The following is a 21,641-nucleotide window of genomic DNA, read 5'->3' on the forward strand; positions in this document are numbered from 1 at the left end:
AGAATTGCTCGAAACCGGGAGGGGGAGGTTGCAGTGAGCTGAGATCACACCATTGCACTCCAGCTTGGGCAACAAGAGAGAAACTCTGTCTCACCAAAAAAAAAAAAAAAAAGAATCCTAAAAGTAGACACAATAACACTAGATGTTTTCTAGGAAACCCAAATGGTTCCTGCTCCTGTTCATGCTATTGTTTATAAAACAACTATTTCATAAAAGCAATAGAATATGTGTTTTAGGTATTTTACTATTTTATATTTCAGTTGAATCCAAACTCCAGGTTTCTCATTCAAAAATATAAAAGGAGTCAAAACAATTTAGATCAAGGCTATAACAAATTACAACAATCTTGTGAAGGATTTTCAATATAACAGTTGTAGAGGAAATAACTATTCAAATGTTTAACATTCTTAGGTAATTCTCTGGTTTTATATTAACACAGGAAGTATCATGATATATTTCTGTCATCTATAAACAATTACAAGGAAGTAATCAGCAGAAAAACATGGGAGCAACTAGATTCTTCTCTTCTTATTGTTTCAAAGGACAATATCACCTAAACATGCAAGCAGACACTGTGATAGCCATGACTTCTAGGGGTAGAATGTTCTTAAATATATTGGTTTTTAAAAAGCTAAGCAACTTGGTTTATATACAATAATATACTGTTGGTTTGTATAAAATTATAATTGTTTTTCTATAACGTACATAGCTGAGGAAACAACTTTGAAGGCCCTTGTACCAATGTAGAATTATATCATCTAATAGAGTTTGTGAATATTAAGCAGCTTGTGTGTGTGTGCACGCGCGTGCACGCTATTACTTTTGCCTTTTCTATCAGTTTCTAAATCTCAGTTTGACACATTTGAGGGATCTGTTTACTAACATAATACATTTATTTAAATGCTTAGTAAATAAACAGGACCCAAGAAACCACTTCAGGAGGCTCTAAAACCAGAGGTTGGGTGGAAAAGGGCCGAAAGGTTGAACAAAGAAACTAGGAAAGAGCCAGGCACAGTGGTGTGTGCCGGTAGTTCCAGCTACTTGGTAGGCTGAAGGGGAGTATCGCTTGATCCCAGGAGTTCAAGTCTGGCCTGGGCAAGATCGCGAGACCCCATGTCTGAAAAAATAAATACATTAAAAAAAATAGGAAAGAAATGGCCATGCACAGTGGCTCACAACTGTAATCCCAGCACTTTCGGAGGCTGAGGCAGGCAGATCACTTGAGCTCAGGAGTTGACCAGACTGGCCAACATGGTGAAACCCCATCTCTACTAAAAAATACAAAAATCAGCCGGGTGTGGTAGCGTGCACCTGTAGTCCCAACTACTTGGGAGGCTGAGGCATGAGAATTGCTTAAACCCTGGAGGCGGAGGTTGCAGTGAGCCGAGATCAGGCTACTGCACTCCAGCCTTGGCAACAGAGTGAAGCTCTGTCTGGGAAAAAAAAAAAAAAAGAAAAGAAGAAAAAAAAGGAAAGAAATACTTGTTCAACAGTGACCCCTATTGCTTAAATTAAATCTACTAAGTACTAAACAGGAAATTAAAAGCTCTGACCTATATTATTTAAGCTTTATAGATTATATACAGAATTCCCAATTCTTAGCTAGCACCTGGCTGTGTGGAAAGAAGACTATTTCTCTTGCAGCTAGGCAGGATTCAGTAACTAAGTTTTGACCAGTAGGTTGTAAGAAAAAGTGCCATGTACACTTTCAGGAGAGTACTTAAAGAGAGAGGTTATGTCCTTTTTCTTTACCCCTTTCTCAATTCTGCTGCTTAGAATAGGATTAGGATGCCTGGAACTCCATCTTGTATCATGAAGCTGAAGGCCACCGTTTTAAAGACAAGCAGAAAACTAGAAAAGGTCTGCAGATGATTGCAGGGATACCATGCCAATAAAAACTGTCTACATCTGGACTTTATGAGAGAAAATAAACATAAATATTTAAGCCACTTTTAATTTGGGTCTCTGACATATGCAGCTAAACTTAGTAATACATAGGCAGCTAAACCTACTAAAACATATGCAGCTAAACTTACTAAAACTTACTAAACTTACTAAGTACCTCCTTATCAGTGGTTTTCCTTTCTACGGTCCATGGTCAGCCACAGTCTGAAAACAGGTTAGTAAAAGAGACATTCACACAACTTTATTCCAGTATACTGTTATAATTGTTCTATTTTATTAGTTATTTTTGTTAATCTCTTTCTGTGCCTAATTTATAAATCATACCTTATCATAGGTATATAAGTATAGAAAAAATCATAGTATATATAGGGTTCTATACTATATGCAATTTTAGGCTTCCACCAGGGGTCTTGGAACATATTCCCCATGGATAAGGGAGACCACTACACCTTATTTATTTATTTATTTATTTATTTATTTATTTATTTATTTGAGACAGAGTCTCACTCTGTTGCCAGGCTGGAGTGCAGTGGCACAATCTTGGCTCACTGCAACCTCCACCTCCCAGGTTCAAGCGATTCTCCTGCCTCAGCCTCCCAAGTAGCTGGGATTACAGACACGCGCCACCACACCCAGCTAATTTTTGTATTTTTAGTAGAGATGGGGTTTCATCATATTGGCCAGGATGGTCTCGACCTCTTGACCTTGTCATGATCCGCCCGCCTTGGCCTCCCAAAGTGCTGGGGTTACAAGAGTGAGCCACCGCACCCAGCCTATTTTTATCTTAAAAATGTTTCGTTTTTCAAGATGAAGAGTTCTGAAGATTGCTTGTACAACACTGTGAATGTACTTAACACTACTGAACTGTGTAATGTACATTTAAAAACAGTTAAGATGGTAAATATTATGTTACATGTATTTTACCACAGAAATTTTAAAGGTACAAGTATTTTCACATTCTGGCATCTGTGAAATCAGGATTCATCTCACAATTAAAAACCAAAAGCATCTGTGTATAAAATAAAGTTGCAGTTTATAATTCATGGCATCTTTTGTTTAATGATATATAGTGAAGTCTACCAACGGGGAAAACAAATAAGATAGTATCCCTGAGGACCATTTGCTTCTCCTCAAACAAGCTCTTGCTTTTTTGTTCATGCTATTTTCTTTAGAGTACCTGTGCAATGAAATCTGCCTACTCTGTCAATACAAAGAGATTAATGTTCATCGCACTTACTACCCATTCCATGTCCTTCTCAATCTCGTTAACTGGATGTGACTGTTCCTTCTCCTATGAAACCTCAAAGCATCCCAAAGCTCAGAATACCAGTCCTACGTTGGTGTTACCAGACTATAAGCTCTGAGAGGAAAGGGACCATGTCTGTTTTGTCACCACAGTATAGTCAGCAACCCACAGCTAAACTAGTGCCTAGGAATCACTGAATCAATGAATGTTATTTATACGTTAGGAATCTGGAAGTACTCTAATCCCTCCCCTCTTTTTGACTGTAAATTCCCAGCAGCCTTTTGTGGCTTTTTCACTACGTATCTCTATAGCAGACTGTCTTGCAAAAAATGCAATAAAAATATTTAATAAATTGAATGTCACCCATTTAGCAAATAAGATATGAATGATATCAGCACAGCAATAGACAGACTGAATTATACTACAACAAATAAAATAACAATTAAAATAGTTGAAAAAACAAAAGTTTGGAAATCCAGGTTACAGCCCACTTATTTCAAGGGATGTTCACCACATAAAATTTCTTGGTTTTTTTGTTTGTTTGTTTGTTTTTGAGACAGAGTTTTGCTCTTGTTGTCCAGGCTAGAGTGCAATGGCACAATCTCAGCTCACTAGAACCTCTGCCTCCCTGGTTCAAGTGATTCTCCTGCCTCAGCCTCCCAAGTAGCTGGGATTATAGGCATGCGCCACCATGCCCAGCTAATTTTTTATTTTTAGTAGAGGCGGCATTTCACCATGTTGGTCAGGCTGGTCTCTTAACTCCTGACCTCAAGTGATCCACCTGCCTCAGCCTCCCAAAGTGCTGGGATTACAGGTGTGAGCCACCACGCCCGGCCTAAAATTTCTTGATTAAAAACACTATGGCCACGCCTGTAATCCCAGCACTTTGGGAGGCTGAGGTGGGTGGACTGTTTGAGCCCCTAAGGTTGAGAACAGCCTCCCAAAGTGCTGGGATTGCAGGCATGAGCCACGACACCTGGCCTTCTTCATATATTTTAAATAGCCCTTTATATAAATGATTTGATTATTTGATTTGCAAATACTTTCTCCCATGTCACCCAGACTGTGTTTTCTACTTCTTAATGGTGTCTTCTGACACACTACTGTTTTTAATTTTGATAAACTGCAATTTTTTTCTTGATGTATCATGCTTTTGATGTCTTATACAAGAACTCCTGGGCCGGGCGCGGTGGCTCACGCCTGTAATCCCAGCACTTTGGGAGGCCAAGGCGGGCGGATCACCTGAGGTCAGGAGTTCAAGACCAGCCTGGCCACATGGTGAAACCCCGTCTCTACTAAAAATACAAAAATTAGCTGCGCGTGGTGGCAGGTGCCTGTAATTCCAGCTACTTGGGAGGCTGAGGCAGGAGAATCGATTGAACCCAGGAGGCAGAGGTTGCAGTGAGCTGAGATTGTGCCATTGCACTCCAGCCTGAGGGACAAAATCGAGACTTCGTCTCAAAAAAAAAAAAAAAAAAAAAGAACTCCTTTGCCTAATCCAATTTCATAAAAATTTTCTCCTATGTTTTAAAAGTTTTGGGCAGGAGGGGTGGCTCACACCTGTAATCCCAGCACTTTGGGAAGCCAAGGTGGGTGGATCATGAGGTCAGGAGTTCGAGACCAGCCTGGCCAACATGGTGAAACCCTGTCTCTACTAAAAATACAAAAAGTAGCCAGGCGTGGTGGCATCCACCTGTAATCCCCTGCTACTTGGGAGGCTGAGGCAGAAGAATCACCTGAACCCAGGAGGCAGAGGTTGCAGTGAGCTGAGATTGTGCCACGGCACTCCAGCCTAGGCGACAGAGCGAGACTCCATCTCAAAAAAAAAAAAAAAAAAAAAAGTTTTATAGTTTTAGCTTATACACTTAAGTCTAAGATCCATTTTGAGTTAATTATCATATGTGGTATGAGGTGAGAGCACAACTTCATCTGTCTGCATGCAGATATACAATTGTTTCACCACCATCTGTTTTGTTTTGAGACAGGGTTTCACTCTGTCACTGAGGCTGGAGTACAGTGGCACAATCATGGCTCACTGCAGCCTCAACTTCTTGGGCTCAAGTGATCATCCCATCTCAGCCCCCCAAGTGGCTGGGACTACAGGTACATATCACCACGCTCAGCTATTTTTTCTATATTTTATAGAGACGGGATTTCGCCATGTTGCCTAGGATAGTCTTGAACTCCTGGACTCAAGCAATCTGTCTGCCTTGGCCTCCCAGGCGGCTAGGATTATAGGCATGAGCCCCTGCGCTCGGCCTACATTTGTGTTTGTTTTGAGACAGGGTATCACTCTGTCACCCAGGGTGGAGTGCAGTGGTGCAATCACCTCTCACTGCAGCCTTGACCTCCCAGGCTCAAGCAATTCTACCACCTCTGCCTCCTGAGAAGCTGGAACTACGGGTGCGTGCCACCACACCTGGCTAATTTTTTTTTTTTTAATTTTGCAGTAGAGACAAGGTCTCACTATGTTGCCCAGGCTAGTCTTAAACTCCTAAACTCAAGAGCTCCTCCCACTTTGACCTCCCAAAGTGCTGGGATTACAGGCATGAGCTATCGTACCCAGCCCCATTTGAAATAGTCTTTAAAGCAAATGGGGCTGGGTCCAATGGCTCATGCCTGTAATCCCAGCACTTTGGGAGGCCAAGGCGGGTGGATCACCGAGGTTGGGAGTTCGAGACCAGCCTGACCAACATGGAGAAACCTCGTCTCTACTAAAAATACAAAATTAGCCGGGCGTGGTGCTGCATGTCTGTAATCCCAGCTACTTGGGAGGCTGAGGCAGGAGAATCACTTGAACCCGGGAGGAGGAGGTTGAAGTGAGCCAAGTTCGTGCCACACTGCACTCCAGCCTAGGCAACAAGAGCAAAACTCTGTCTCAAAAAAAAAAAAAAAAAAGACTTTTTTTGCCCAGTTGAATTGCTTTAGTACCTTAATCAAATATCACTTGACCATAAATGTTGGCATTATTTCTAGACTCTCAATACTGTTCCATTAATCTATACATATATCTTTATGTCAACAATTCACTGTCACTGTTAGGCATGCCTCTCATTCTGTATGTTTTCTCTGTCTCATATCTTTTGTTCTTCTGTTCCTTTTATATTGCCTTCTGGTATCTTAAACAGTTTTATAATTATCATCTTACGCGAAACCCCCTTTATTTCTTGAGACAGTGTCTTACTATGTCACCCAGGCTAGAGTGCGGTGGCACAAACATAGCTCACTGCAACCTCCAACTTCTGGGGCTCAAGCGAAGCTGCCTCAGCCTCCCAACGTGTTGCGACTACAGGTGAGTCACCATGCCCAGCTGGCAAATGCCTTTAATTCAGTCAAGATAATAAAAGAAACATTTACTTATTGTCGTTCATATTTACCTCTGAAATTAACTTCTGCTCTTCTTTTTCTTCAAGTTACCATCTGGTACCATAGCGTTTCATTTCAGCTTGAAGTACTTCCTTTAGTAAGGCAAGCCTGCTAACAAATTCTCTCAGTATTTGCTTATCTGGAAACGTTTTTATTTTGCCTCAACTTTTGAACAAAGTATTAGTTCAGGTTTTCCAGAGAAACAGAAACAATTACATATATATAAACTCTTCTCATACATATGCATATGAAGAGATTTATTATAAGAACTGTCTCACAGAAAGCTTATAATGTAATCCAGTCAGAGTCCAAAGGCCTAACTAAGAACCAGAAGTGGAGGTGAGGCAGTATTACCAGCGTCCAAAGGCCAGAACAGGAGCTCTGATGTCCAAGGAAAAGAGAAAATGAATGTCTCAGCTCAAGGAGAGGCAGTATTCTCCCTTCCTCCACCTTTTTGTTTTATTCAGGCCCTCAGCTGATTGGATGATGCTGGCCCACACTGGTGAGGGCGGATCTTTCTTTACTCAGTCTACTGATTTAAATACTAACCTCTTCCACAAACACCCTCACAGACACACCCAGAAATAATGTTTTACTAGCTATTCGGGCATCCCTTAGCCTTCTCAAGATGGCATATAAGGCCAGGAGCAGTGGCTCATGCCTGTAATCCTAGCGCTTTGGGAGGCTGAGGTGGGTGGATCACTTGAAGTTAGGAGTTTGAGACCAGCCTGGCCAACATGGCGAAACCCTGTCTCTTCTAAAAATACAAAGATTATCCGGGCGTGGTGGCGTACGCCTGTAATCCCACCTACTCAGAGGCTAAGGCAGGAGAATCACTAGAACCCTGGAAGTGGGGGTTGCAGTGAGCTGAGATCAAACCACTGCACTCCAGCCTGGGCAACAGAGTGAGACTCTGTCTCAAAAAAAAACAAAAAAACAAAAAAACAAACAAAAAAAACACCTCTCAGTAGAAACAATAACAACACTATCAACAGAATGAAAAGACAACCTACACATTAGGAGAAAATATTTGCAAATATCTATCTCAGGAGTTAACACCCAGAGTATATAAAGAAATCCTACAAACTGAAAAACAAACAAAAAACAATCCAACTAAAAAATGGGCAAAAGGCTTGAATATTCAGACGTTTCACCAAAGAAAATATACAAGGGACCGATAAGCACATGAAAAGATGCTAAACATCACTAATCATTAGAAAAATGCAAATCAAAACCACAAGATACCACTTCACAATCATTAGGAAGGCTATTTTCTAAAACAAAAAATCTGGCAAGGCGCAGTGGCTCACGCCTATAATCCCACCACACCACTTTGGGAGGCTGCTGAGGCGGGCTGATCGCCTGAGCTCAGGAGTTTGAAACCAGCCTGGCCAACCCCATATCTACAAAAAAAATATAAAAAATTAGCGTGGCGGCACGCACTTGTACCTGTAGTCCCAGCTACTTGGGAAACTGAGGCAGGAAAATGGCTTGAGTCCAGGAGGTGGAAGTTGCAGTGAGCCAGGATTATGCAACTTCACTCCAGCCTGAGCGTGGGTGACACAGCAAGATCCTGTCTCAAAAACAAACAACAGAGGTGGGCCTGCAATCCCAGCACTTTGGGAGGCCAAGGCGGGCAGATCATGATGTCAGGAGTTCAAGACCAGCCTGGCCAACATGGTGAAACCCTGTCTCTACTAAAAATACAAAAATTAGCCAGGCGTGGTAGCACACCGGAGGCTGAAGCAGGAGAACTGCTTGAACCCGGGAGGCGGAGGTTGCAGTGAGCCAAGATCACGCAACTGCACTCCGGCCTGGGCAACAAGAGTGAGACTCCATCTTGGAAAAAAAAAAAACCCAGAAAGTAACAAGTGTTGGTGAGAATGTGGAGAAATTGGAAACCTTAAGAGACATTGCTGCATTGCTCATGGGAATGGAAAATGGTGTGGCTGCTACAGAAAACGGTATGGCAGTTCCCTAAAAAATTAAACAGAATTTTCATATGATCCGGCAATTCCTATTCTTATTCCTATTTCTTCAATTCCTATTTTGGTACATATCTGAAATAACTGAAAGCAGGTTCACAACAGCCAAAAGGCAGAAGTCACTCAGGTGTCCAACAGATGAATGAATAAACAAAATGTGCTTTTTACATAAAATGGAATATTTAGTATTAAAAAGCAATTATTACATACAGAATTAAATTATTCAGATAAAACATTAAAGTATTAAATGTATAAACATAAAATATTAAAATTATGTTGTTTTATGATTATATAAAATTTACATAAAAACATATATTACATATTATTTAGTATTAAAAATGAAAAAATTCTGACACATGGATGAACCCTGAAGACATTATGCTAAGTGGAATAAACCAGTCACAAAAGTACCACTTACAAAGGGTACCCACAGTAGTGAAATTCATAAGAGAAAGGATAGTGGTGGTTGGCAGGGGCTAAAAGGGGAGAGGGAATGGGGAGTTACTGTTTAATGGTTAGAGAAGTTTCAGTTTGGGAAGATGAAAAAAGTTCTACATGTGGATGGTGGTGACAGGTTTCATAACAATGTGAATGTACTTAATGTCACTGAACTGTACACTTGAAATTGCTTTACGTGGTACATCTTATGCATATTTTATAATAAAAATGATTTAAAAACAAATTTCACACTGTTGTCAATTTTAAATTTTCAATATTTGATGTGGTTCTGTGACAGATTTTACTGAGTCAATTTGGTTACGGTAGTAACAGTGTTTCCCAGAAATCTTTTCTCTACATGGTTTGGGTTAGGAGCGGGACAAAAATGGAACAAGATTTTGGAAAGCAGAGTGAGGCATGATGAATACACTTTGATGACTTTCATGATCTTTTCACACTCAGAGACAGATTCAGAAATGTCTGTCAGAATCCACTTTGTCCTCTGCTCTATGTCTGGCTTTCTTCCCGAACGCTGGCCTTGCTGACCAACAGTGGCCTCAAACCACTGTTGGCTAAGCATCAGAGACAGTAGCTATTCAGATAACAGCTTCCCATATACCACCCCAGGAACTCCTTGTTCAGAGGCCAATTCACATCCCCAAAACAATGCCTAGAAATCTCCTTAGATATACCAGTTGTTACCAATGGTCATATTTTTGCCAGTTAGTCTACATGTATTAATACATGACATGGGTCATATTTTTCCCAGATTCTAGTAGCAATTTCCCCCATTGTTCCAGCCTCCACCAACAGGCTTCTTGACACCCGTTCAGCCTTTGCCTGCTACCTGATCCTAAAGTCAGTGCCACATTCTAGGTTTTTATTATTGCATTGCATTTCTGAGTATAAATTTCTGTATTAAGCAAGGTTCAGTCAGGACAGCAAAGTCACCTGAGTGTTAGGGAACAGGAGTTACAAGAATTAGACCATAATGAAACCATGGGAAGATCTAGAGAGGTGAAGGTCTAGAAGAAGGAGTTGGAGGATCAGAGAAGAGCCATCAATCAGAGAAGCCAAGCAGATTGAGCTGCCAAGTTGATGCTGTGAATGGAGTTTGTGAAGTCTATGGGAGGCCATTTCGCTGTTAGCTGAATAGTTTGATAAACTAACTATGATAAAGTAACATGAGAGATATGCAGAAGAAAGAACTGCACAGTTTGCAAAGAACTGAGAATATTGAGAGCCTAGAATTTGCTGGATTGGAAAATAAAACTTCCTCATCTTCTGTCTCTGGAGCCCAGAAGCTTCTCAAAACAAGAAGAAATGTTTTTGGTCAGGCAGGGTGGCTTATGCCTGTAATCCCAGCACTTTGGGAGGCTGAGGCAGGTAGATCATTAAGTCAGGAGATCGAGACCATCCTGGCTAACACTGTGAAACCCTGTCTCTACTAAAAATACAAAAAATTAGCTGGGTGTGGTGGCACGCGCCTGTAGTCCCAGCTACTCGGGAGGCTGAGGCAGGAGAACTGCTTGAACCTGGGAGGCGGAGTTTGCAGTGAGCCGAGATCGCACCACTGCACTCCAGCCTTAGCGACAGAGCGAGACTCCGTCTCAAAAAAAAATGCTTTCTTGGCCAGGCACAGTGGCTCATACCTGTAAATCCCAGCACTTTACAAGGCTGAGGTATGAGGACTGCCCGAGCCCCGGAGTTCAAGACCAGCCTGGGCAAGATAGCAAGACCCCATCTCTAATATTTAAAAAGAGTAAAGTTTTAAAAATGCTTTTGGATTTTGGAGCACTAAAAAAAAAAAAAAAATGCCCTGGCCAGGCATGGTGGCTGATACCTGTAATCCCAGCACTTTGGGAGGCCAAGGCGGGCAGATCACGAGGTCAGGAGATCGAGACCATCCTGGCTAACACGGTGAAACCTCGTCTCTACTAAAAATACACACACAAAAAATTAGCCAGGAATGGTGGCGGGCGCCTGCAGTCCCAGCTACTCAGGAGGCTGAGGCAGGAGAATGGCGTGAACCCGGGAGGCAGAGCTTGCAGTGAGCCAAGACTGCCCCACTGCATTGCAGCCTGGGCAACAGAGCGAGACTCCGTCTCAAAAAAAAAAGAAAAATGCTTTCTTGGCCAGGCACAGTGGCTCATACCTGTAATCCCAGCACTTTAGAAGGCTGAGGTACGAGGACTGCCTAAGCCCAGGAGTTCGAGACCAGCCTGGGTAAGATGGCAAGACCCCATCTCCTGCCTCAGCCTCCCGGGTAGCTGGGATTACAGGCATGTGCCACCACACCCAGCTAATTTTCTATTTTTAGTAGAGAGAGGTTTTCTCCATGTTGGTCAGGCTGGTCTCGAACTCCCGACCTCAGGTGATCCACCTGCCTCGGCCTCCCAAAGTGCTGGGATTACAGGCGTGAGCCACCACACCCGGCTTTTTTTTTTTTTCTGAGACAGAGTCTCGCTCTGTCAACCAGGCTGGAGTGCAGTAGTGCGACCTCGGCTCACTGCAACCTTCATCTCGGGTTCAAGTGATTCTCCTGCCTCAGCCTCCCAAACAGCTGGGATTACAGGCATGCGCCACCACACCCAGCTAGTTTTTTTGTATTTTTAGTAGAAATGGAGTTATCACCTTGTTGGCCAGACTGGTCATGCTCCTGACCTCAAGTGATCTGCCTGCCTCGGCCTCCCAAAGTGCTGGGATTACAGGTGTGAGCCACTGCGCCTGGCCTAGTAAACTTTTCTTAATGAAACACTTATTACAACCAACCATTATTAAATGTCCTTTACATCCCTTTCCTACATTTTATTTATTTATTCATTTATTTATTTGAGACAGTTTCACTCTTGTCGCCCAGGCTGGAGTGCAATGGCACGCGATCTCAGCTCATCACAACCTCCGCCTCCTGGGTTCAAGTGATTCTCCTGCCTCACCCTCCCGAGCTACTAGGGAGGCTGGGATTACAGGCATGTGCCACCACACCCAGCTAATTTTTTTTGTATTTTTAGTAGAGACAGGGTTTCTCCATGTTGGTCAGGCTGGTCTTGAACTCCCAACCTCAGGTGATCCACCAGCCTGGGCCTCCCAAAGTGCTGGGATTATGGGTGTGAGCCACCGCGCTTGGCCAAATTTTTATTTTTAAATTTGTTTTAGAGACAGGGTCTCCCTATGTTGCCCAGGCTGGTCTCAAAACTCCTAGTCTCAAGTGATCCTCCCGCTTCAGCCTCCCAAAGTGCTAAGATTACAGGTGTGAGCCACCACACCTAGCCTCTTTTTGCATTCTTTACAAATATCTGAGTGTTTATAAATTAAGCCACATGTCTATACAAACAGATAAATAATGGGCCAAACAAGGTGGCTTACACCTATAATCCCAGTACTTTGGGAGGCCAAGGTAGGTGGGAGGATTGCCAGGAATTCCAGACCAGCCTGGGCAACATGATGAGGCCCCTCCTCTAGAAAAAATTTTAAAAACTAGCTGGGCATGGTGACACATGTCAATAGTCCCAGCTACTTGGGAGGAAGAGGTGAGAGGATTGCTTAAGCCCGGAAGTTGAAGGCTGCAATGAGCTGTGATCTGGCCACTGTACTCCAGCCTGGGTGACAGAGCAAGACTTTATCTCAAAAAAAAAAAAAAAACAAAAAACAAAAAAAAAAACAATAAAAAGTAAGTAATGAAACCCAATGAATCATATCTTTTTTTTTTTTTTTTTTTTTTTGAAGACAAAGTCCCACTCGGTCGCCCAGGCTGGAATGCAGTGACGCGATCTCAGCTCGCTGCAACTTCCACCTCCTGGGTTCAAGCAATTTTCGTGCCTCAGCCTCCCGAGTAGCTGAGATTACAGGTATGTGCCACCACGCTCGACTAGTTTTTGTATTTTTAGTACAGACGGGGTTTCACCATGTTGGCCAGGCTGGTCTCGAACTCCTGGCCTCAAGTGATCCGCCCACCTCAGTCTCCCAAAGTGCTGGGATTACAAGATGTGAGCCACTGCGCCTGGGTCCCAATGAATCATATCTTTGTGGCAATGCCCCTTTGCAATGCAATTTTGTTGCTTCTCCCTTCAAAAGATGGGGTTTATTTTCCCACCCCTTGAATCTAGGTTGACATAGTGACTTGATTTGACCAAAAGAATGTGGTGGGGCTGGGTGCAGTGGCTCACGCCTGTAATCCCAACAATCTGGGAGGCCAAGGAGAGTGGATTGCTTGAGGCCAGGATTTTGAGACCTGGGCAACATGGCAATACCTTCTCTCAAAAACAACAACAAAAATTATCTGGGCGTGGTGGTGCACACCTGCAGTCTCATCTACTCAGGAGGCTGAGGCGGGAGGATTGCTTGAGCCAGGGAAGGCAGAGGTTACAGTGAGCCAAGGTCGTGCCACTGCACTCCAGCCTGGGAGACAGAACAAGACCCTGTCTCAAAAAAGAAAAAGAAAAAAAGAATGTGGCAGGAATAACACTGTGATTTCCCAGGCTAGGACTTAAGAGACAATAAAGCTTTACCCTCTTGACAGACTCCTGCAGCCATCTAAGGAAGTCCACACTAAACTCCTGAATGATGAGAGATCATGTGGAGAACAAGAACTGGCTGACAGCAACACCAAAAGGTCTCAGAGTATAAGTGAGGCCATCTTAGACACGTAAGCCCCACTCAAGTCACCAAATGACTGCAGTCTTATGAGCGACCTATTGGGGAGATGGCAGGACCGTCAGGCTGCATAATGAATTGTTTTAAGCCACAAAGTTACAGGGTGGTTGTTAAATAGCAAATACTACAAAAACAGGTTCTCTATTGAAGAAGTTTATGACTCACGATCTAAATTTCATAGATTAAGAAATTTAAAAAAAGAAATTTCATAGATTAAGCAAAATTTCTAACATACAAAGGTAGCCCAATACAGGTCAAATCTTTTGGTGGTAGGAAAATGTTAATGAGAGATTAAGAATCAATTTTCATTAAAAAAAATCCAGAGTTGAAGCTGCAGAAGATTTTTTAAATGTGTATTTTTCCTATAAGTAATTTTTACTGATTATGCCATTCCTTCATTCAACCAACACCAGATGTTTTTTCCAGTTGGCCAGTTTTCTTGCCCGAATCTAAAAGGAAAAACATTTTTGTTTGGCCAGATAAACCTAAAACAAAGTAAGTTTATAATTCCTCCGCCCAACATCTTGTCCCTAGCAGAAATAAAATTGCTTTTTAGAAGCTAACTACTGCCAGTGCATTGCCGTCTCATGACTAAACTTCTCCTAAGAAAGAAATCACTAGATAAAAACATTACGGAAGGAATACATTTAGCTAACAGACACATTACTTAATAGGTCAAACTTTCTGCTTTGGACACCTTCTAACATCTGACTCAATATTCTGAGCTTTCTTTTATGCTGACTTCTGTTTCATTTACTTAACCCAAACCTATGTCCACTACCAATTCACTGCTCTCAGTCCAAAAATAGAGCATCTACACACTTTTATTTTTTTCTTTTCAGTATTTTTAATTTATTTGACATTAACCATCCTCAGCAACAGTCTAGGACCTGGAGGATTCCATGAACTCTGAAGAACTGAATATGACTGAATCTCATGTTGAACTGGTGCTGCTTAATCCTGGAAATGTTCCATGCCCTACTGAAAACTTCTTTTGAAGTTATGAAGTGAAAGGAAAGAAACTAAAATTCAAAGTGACAATATTATTTCATGTCCACCTCTCCTCCTCCTTCCTCCATTTCCCTTAGTTTCACTTCATCTGTAACACAGGAAAGAACTAAGAGGTGGATACTAAAAGACAACAACGGAATTTAAAAAAATTTTTTTTTTTTTAGAGATGGGGTCTCGCTATGTCTGAAGTAGACTGGCTATTCACAGGAGCGATCATAGTACACCCTCAAGCAATCCTCCAGCCTCAGTCTCTAAGGTAGCTGAAATTACAGTACATGCCACTGCTTCTGGCTGTATTCAGTGTAATTTTCTCACAATCTTTGTTTAAATTAAGCGTCCGTGTGAATATTTAGTATTTAGATACTACTCAGTGTCAGGACAAGCAGACAATAGGACTATGGACTCTTTCTCACCCTACATATAGGCTATCATATTTTTTTCTACTTTCTAGACTCTTTTCCCTCAACTGCTCCAAAATCTGTCACATCTGAATATTTTCCATATGCTCAAATGCATCAGATACTGTTTTTCTCTGGTGCTAAACATTCCCAGAACACTTTCTTTTCCTACACTCTAAGAAATTCCCTAGACTGGCTACACAACTGTCATCTTGGGCTCTCCAGTAGCTCTTCTCTTTTATTGCATTGTTTCCAGTACCCCATATTGTCTCACTTGCTTTTTAAGGGAACATCTCACAGTAATTTATGAAAAAACAGCTCATGGGAACTCAGGTTTTTAAGTCTCTTGCATGTCTAAAATATGTATTTACCTTAGACTCACATCTGATTGATAATTTGGCTTGCAATAAAATTATAAGATGAAAATCCTTTCCACTGAAGATATCTGAAGACACTGCTTGATGCATTTCTGACCTCGTAAGTTTCTGCTGTGATATATAATGCCATTCTAATTTGGGGTCCTTTGAATGTAACCTCTAGTTACTTTTGGAAGCTTTTAGTATATTCTCTTTATCCTCAGTTTACCAAAATTTCATCATCAAGCCTCTTGGTCTGAGGTTATTATTCTATCAGTCCTTTTTTTTTTTTTTTTCCTGAGATGGAGCCTCGCTCTGTCAGCCAGGCTGGAGTGCAGTGGCACAATCTCGACTCACTGCAAGCTCTGCCCCTGGGTTCACGCTATTCTGCTGCCTCAGCCTCCCAAGTAGCTGGGACTACAGGCACCCACCACCACGCCCAGCTAATTTTTTGTATTTTTTAGTAGAGACGGGGTTTCGGCGTGTTAGCCAGGATGGTCTCGATCTCCTGACCTCAAGATCTGCCTGCCTCAGCCTCCAAAAGTGCTGGGATTGTAGGCATAAGCCACCGCGCCCAGCCTATCAGTCCTTTCAATCTAGAAGTTTATATTTTTCAATCTGGTAAATATTTTGGAAGTTTTTCTGGTTTCTCTGTCCTCTCATTGTAGAATTCCTATTAGTCAAACATTGGACCTCCTGGTTTATCTTTTTCTTTTCTTTTTTTTTTTTTTGGAGATAGAGTCTCACTCTGTTGCCTAGGCTGGAGTGCAGTGGCGCAATCTCGGCTCACTGCAACCTCCAACTCCCAGATTCAAGTGATTCTCCTGCCTCAGCCTCCCAAGTAGCTGGGATTACAGGCGCCCACCACCACACCCAGCTAATTTTTATATTTTTGGTAGAGACAGGGTTTCACCATGTTGGCCAGGCTCATCTCAAACTCCTGGCCTCAAGTGATCTACCCACCTCAGCCCCTCAAAGTGCTAGGATTACAGGCATGAGCCACCATACCCAGTGAATCTTTAATTTGTTAAATAATTTTTCTCCTATATCCAAATTGCTTTGACTTTACTTCCAAATTTTTACTAATTCTTTTTGGGGGACAGAGGATTATCATATTTTAAAATTTTCAATAAGTTTCTATTTATTGAAAGATTATTTATATATATATATATTTTGAGAGTCTGGCTCCATCAGCCTGGCTGGAAGGCTGGAGTGCACTGGCCCAATCTCAGCTCACTGCAACTTCAGCCTCCCAGGTTCAAGAGATTCTCCTGCCTCAGGCTCCGGAGTAGCTGGAACTACAGGCACGCCCCACCACACCCAGCTAATTTTTTTTTTCTTTTTTTTGTACTTTTGGTAGAGAAGGGGTTTCACTATGTTGGCCAGGCTGATCTCAAACTCCTGGCCTCCAGTGATCCGCTGGACTCAGCCTCTCAAAGTGCTGGGATTACAGGTGTGAGTCACCACACCCCGCCTGTGAAAGATTTTTAAGAATAGTATCCTAGGCCAAACACAGTGGCTTACTCCTATAATCTCAACACTTTGGGAGGCCAAGGTAGGAGAATCACTTGAGGCCAGGAGTTCAAGACCAGCCTGGGCAACACAGCGAGAACTTATCTCTACAAAACAATAAAATAAAATTACACAGGCACAGTGGTGCACTCCTGTAGTCCTAGCTACTCAGGAGGCTAAGGCAGGAGGATCACTTGAGCCCAGGAGCTCAAGGCTGCAGTGAACTATGATCACACCACTGCACTCCAGCCTGGGCAACAAAGCAAGACCTTGTCTCTAAAAAAACTTAAAAATTTTTAAGAATGAAAAAGAAAGACATTTCACCACTACCTGATTTTAATCTCAAGCCTCATCTGTTTCTTAAGAGACCTTTTCCTACCAAGTCCTAAGTCTCTTTCCTACCAAGTCCTGAGTTTTGTTGAGTATACTTTTTGTTGCTGTTCAGTATACTTGCTTCTCCCTGACAAGCCCCTCTAAAAACAACAAAGGGTGTAGTTTCCTCCGCTTAGCTAAATCACTTAACACCCTTCTAACTTTTTTGTTTGTTTTTTGTTTTATTGAGATGGTGTCTCGCTCTGTTGCCCAGGCTAGAGTGCAGTGGTGCAATCTTACCTCACTGCAACCTCTGCCTCCCGGGTTCAAGCTATTCTCCTGCCTCAGCCTCCCGAGTAGCTGGGACTACAGGTGCAGGCCACCACACCGGGCTAATTTTTTGTATTTTTAGTAAAGACGGGGTTTCACCATGTTAGCCAGGATGGTCTCGATCTCCTCACCTCGTGATCTGCCCACTTCGGCCTCCCAAAGTGCTCGGATTACAGGCATGAGCCACCCCGCCCGAACCCATTTTTTTAATCTTCTAAAAAATAACTGAAGTTTCTCATGTATTGTGGTTTCTTCTTTCACTCACTTTTGTCCCTGTGATCTCATGTTTCTTTTGTTCCCTTATTATCATTTTAATGCTATTTGAAGAAAGGAAATAGGTATATTGGATCAAACCTCCATGTTTAACCAAAAGTACTATGCAATAGTTTTAGAAGTACTGGATAAAAATCATAAAGTACAGTATATTTACCAACCTTGTGGAGATTACAAAGCTCATTAGAATAAATAATGCCTCAAACAACAGAATTAGAATTCAATGCTTTTTTTTTTTTTTTTTTTTTTTGAGACAGAGTCTCTGTCGCTGAGGCTGGAGTGCAGTGGTGTGATCTTGGCTCATTGCAAACTCCACCTCCTGGGTTCAAGCAATGCTCCTGCCTCAGCCTCCTGAGCAGCTGGGATTACAGGCACACACTACCAGGCCCAGGTAATATTTGTATTTTTAGCAGACAGGGTTTCACCATGTTGGTCAGGCTGGTCTCGAACTCCTGACCTCGTGATCTGCCAGCCACCATACCCAGCTAATTTTTAGTATTTTTAGAAGAGACGGGGTTTCACCATGCTGGCCAGGCTGGTCTCAAACTCCTGACCTCATGATCCACCCGGCTTGGCCTCCCAAAGTGCTGGGATTACAGATGTGAGCCACCGTGCCCAGCTATGTGTTTATTTTCTTAGAGACAGAATCTTGCTCTGTTGCCCAGGCTGTAGTGGTATGATCATTTCTCACTGCAGGCTGGGCTCAAGCAATCCTCGCACCTCAGCCTCCCCAGTAGCTGGGACCACAGGCATGTGGTCCACACCCCACTACTTTTTAAATTTTTCTGTAGAGACAGGCTCTCGCCATGTTGCCCAGATTAGTCTCAAACTACTGGTCTCCAGCTTTCCTCCTACCCTCCTCCAAAAGTGCTGGGATTACAAACACGAGCCACTGCATCCAACCCACATAATACTTCAAAATATGGCAGGCATGGTGGCTCACACCTGTAGTCCCAGCAGTTTGGGAGGCCAAGGCAGGAGGATCATTTGAGCCCAGGAGTTGAGCCTGGGAGTGAGGCTTCAGTGAGCCGTGAACATTCCAGTGCCCTCTAGCCTGGACAACATAGCAAAACTCAGCCTCAAAAAAATAAATAAAATATTAATGGAATTAATACATCTTAAAAATAATGTTTGCATGTGTCCTTAACAAAGAGGATGGTTTAAAAAAAAAAAAAAGAGGACCAAGCGCTATGCCTCACGCCTGTAATCCTAGCACTTTGGGAGGCCGGGGCGGGCGGATCATCTGAGATCAGGAGTTCGAGACCAGCCTGGCCAACATGGCAAAACCCAGTCTCTACCAAAAATACAAAAACCAGCCAGATACGGTGGCAGGCACCTGTATTCCCAGCTACTCAGGGGTTGAGGCAGAAGCATCGCTTGAACCCGGGAGGCGGAGTTTGCAGTGAGCCAAGATCAAGCCACTACATTCCAGCCTGAGTGGACAGAGTGAGACACCATCTCAAAAAAAAAAAGAAGGCCGGGCGCGGTGGCTCACGCCTGTAATCCCAGCACTTTGGGAGGCCGAGGCGGGCGGATCACAAGGTCAGGAGATCGAGACCATCCTGGCTAACACGGTGAAACCCCGTCTCTACTAAAAAAAAAAAAAATACAAAAAATTAGCCGGGCGTGGTAGCGGGCGCCTGTAGTCCCAGCTACTCGGGAGGCTGAGGCAGGAGAATGGCGTGAACCTGGGAGGCGGAGCTTGCAGTGAGCCGAGATCGCGCCACTGCACTCCAGCCTGGGCGACAGAGCGAGACTCCGTCTCAAAAAAAAAAAAAAAAGAAAAGAAAACATTGGCAACCTTATATTAGCCCCTTCTACCTCTTTTCACCCATTTCACTAATCTCAGGCTTTTGTGGATTTCCTAGAACCTGTCTTATAGAACAGCTGTATAAAGAGTTTTGTCAGACCGAGGGTGTTGGCTCACGCCTATAATCCCAGCACTTTTGGAGGCTGAGGCGGGTGGATCACCTGAGTTTGGGAGTTCGAGACCAGCCTGACCACCATGGAGAAACCCCATCTCTACTTAAAATACAAAATTAGCCGGGCGTGGTGGCACATGCCTGTAATCCGAGCTACTAAGGAGGCTGAGGCAGGAGAATCACTTGAACCTGGGAGGCGGAGGTTGTGGTAAGCCGTGATCCAGCCTGGGCAATGAGGGCGAAACTCCACCTCAAAGAAAAAAGAAGGGTTTTGTCATGCATGACTTTATGAGGTAATCTGCCATCAGCCATAAAAAAAATAACAAAAATATGCTTATATACTTTTTTTAAAAAATCAAAACTTATAGGCATGAGCCTGTTAATGCATAAATATATTTTTTTAAAATTCAGCTATCTTTTCTCTGGGGCCATTCTTTTTTATTGGATGGAGGGCATTCTCTTACTGCAGAGGAAGATCCTCTAAGCTTTTACTTGGCTGCAGGCATTCTACAGCTAGATGAGGGAAGGAGATGGGGAACTACACTACTAATTGTATAGACTTCTCACTTAATTGGCTCCTGACTTCCATTTTCTGTCTGGAACTTAGCTAACCCCATCCTCCTCTGGGATTGGGGTCCTAGGTCCTGAACATCTCATATTCAATTCCTCCAAAGAACAAATCTCCTAACTTCTTTTTGTTGTTTACTTTTTTCTTTTTTTTTTTTTTGAGACGAAGTTTTGCTCTGTTGCCCAGGCTGGAGTGCAGTGGCATGATCTCGGCTCACCACAACCTCCGCCTCCTGGGTTCAAGTGATTCTCATGCCTTAGCCTCCCAAGTAGCTGGGATTAAAGGCACGCGCCACCTCGCCCAGCTAAAATCTCCTAACTTCTGTAAGGCTGACGGTAGCTGTCCAACTACTCAGGTTTAAAGGAGAAAGTACTGAGAGGGAATCTATCTTCCCATTATAGACTTCTGGAAAGTGACCCTGTTGTCAGCCTCCATCTTATCCCTGCCTTCTGTTGTACGTGGTACCTTCAGGTTCTGAACTTTTCAGGAGCTTCACAGACAAATCATGACCTGCCTCTTGCCAGTAGTCTCCTGAAGCACTTGGGTTTGACCCACCTCTCTTCTGCTAAGTCATTTACTATTTCTTTCTCTTTTCCTTTTTCCCATACAAGGATTACATATGCCTCATAATTTCAAATAGAGTTTATATCACTGTTTTTAGGTGATTTTCAAAACAGCCTGGGAATAATTCTACTTTGCTGTCTTAAAACCAAAAAAAAGGCCAGGCACGGTGGCTCACTCCTGTAATCCCAGCACTTTGGGAGGCTGAGGCAGGTGGATCACAAGGTCAAGAGATGGAGACCATCCTGGCCAACAAGGTGAAACCCCGTCTCTACTTAAAATACAGAAATTAGCTGGGCATGGTGACGTGCGCCTGTAGTCCCAGCTACTTGGGAGGCTGAGGCAGGAGAATCGCTTGAACCTGGGAGGCGGAGGTTGCAGCGAGCCGAGATTGCGCCACTGCACTCCAGCCTGGCAACAGAGCGAGACTCTGACCAAAAAAAAAAAAAAAAAAAAAAAAAATTGGTAATCTTTTAAGGCAAAAAACCTTGAAAATGAGCCAATGACTGTTTAAGGGCTAAATGTCTGTTTGATAATTTTTTTTTTTTTTTTGAGATGGAGTTTCGCTCTTGTTGCCCAGGCTGTAGTGCAATGGTGCAATCTCGGCTCACTGCAACCTCCACCTCCCAGGTTTGAGCAATTCTCCTGCCTCAGCCTCCCAAGTAGCTGGCACTAGCTGGCACTACAGGTGTGTGCTACCACACCTGGCTAATTTTTTGTATTTAGTAGAGATGGGGTTTCACCAGGTTGGTCAGGCTGGTCACAAACTCCTGACCTCAGGTGATCCACCCGCCTCAGCCTCCCA

At 43.1% G+C, this 21,641-nt stretch overlaps 1 protein-coding gene across 6 annotated transcripts in view, besides 1 other annotated feature; it reads right to left on the reverse strand.

Moving 5' to 3' along the window:
• Window positions 1-21,641, reverse strand: part of FBXL20 (F-box and leucine rich repeat protein 20) — a 149,894-nt gene that overhangs the window by 98,582 nt on the left and 29,671 nt on the right. The window contains exon 1 of one of the 6 annotated variants that reach the window (XM_047436951.1): window positions 6,529-10,299. The exons of the other annotated variants lie outside the window; for them this stretch is intronic. The gene's annotated coding sequence lies outside the window, so the exon portion shown is untranslated. Of the gene's footprint in view, window positions 1-6,528; window positions 10,300-21,641 lie in introns of those variants that run through there. 6 annotated transcript variants of the gene reach the window in all.
• Window positions 7,872-8,166: an enhancer, noted in NCBI's record as "tiled region #12086; HepG2 Activating non-DNase unmatched - State 8:EnhW". NCBI's record gives its function as "activates a minimal TATA promoter and a strong SV40 promoter by Sharpr-MPRA in HepG2 cells {active_cell/tissue: HepG2}" and the evidence as "EXISTENCE:reporter gene assay evidence [ECO:0000049][PMID:27701403]".

Source organism: Homo sapiens, chromosome 17, assembly GCF_000001405.40.
Source record: "Homo sapiens chromosome 17, GRCh38.p14 Primary Assembly".
In the NCBI taxonomy this organism is placed as follows: domain Eukaryota; kingdom Metazoa; phylum Chordata; class Mammalia; order Primates; family Hominidae; genus Homo; species Homo sapiens.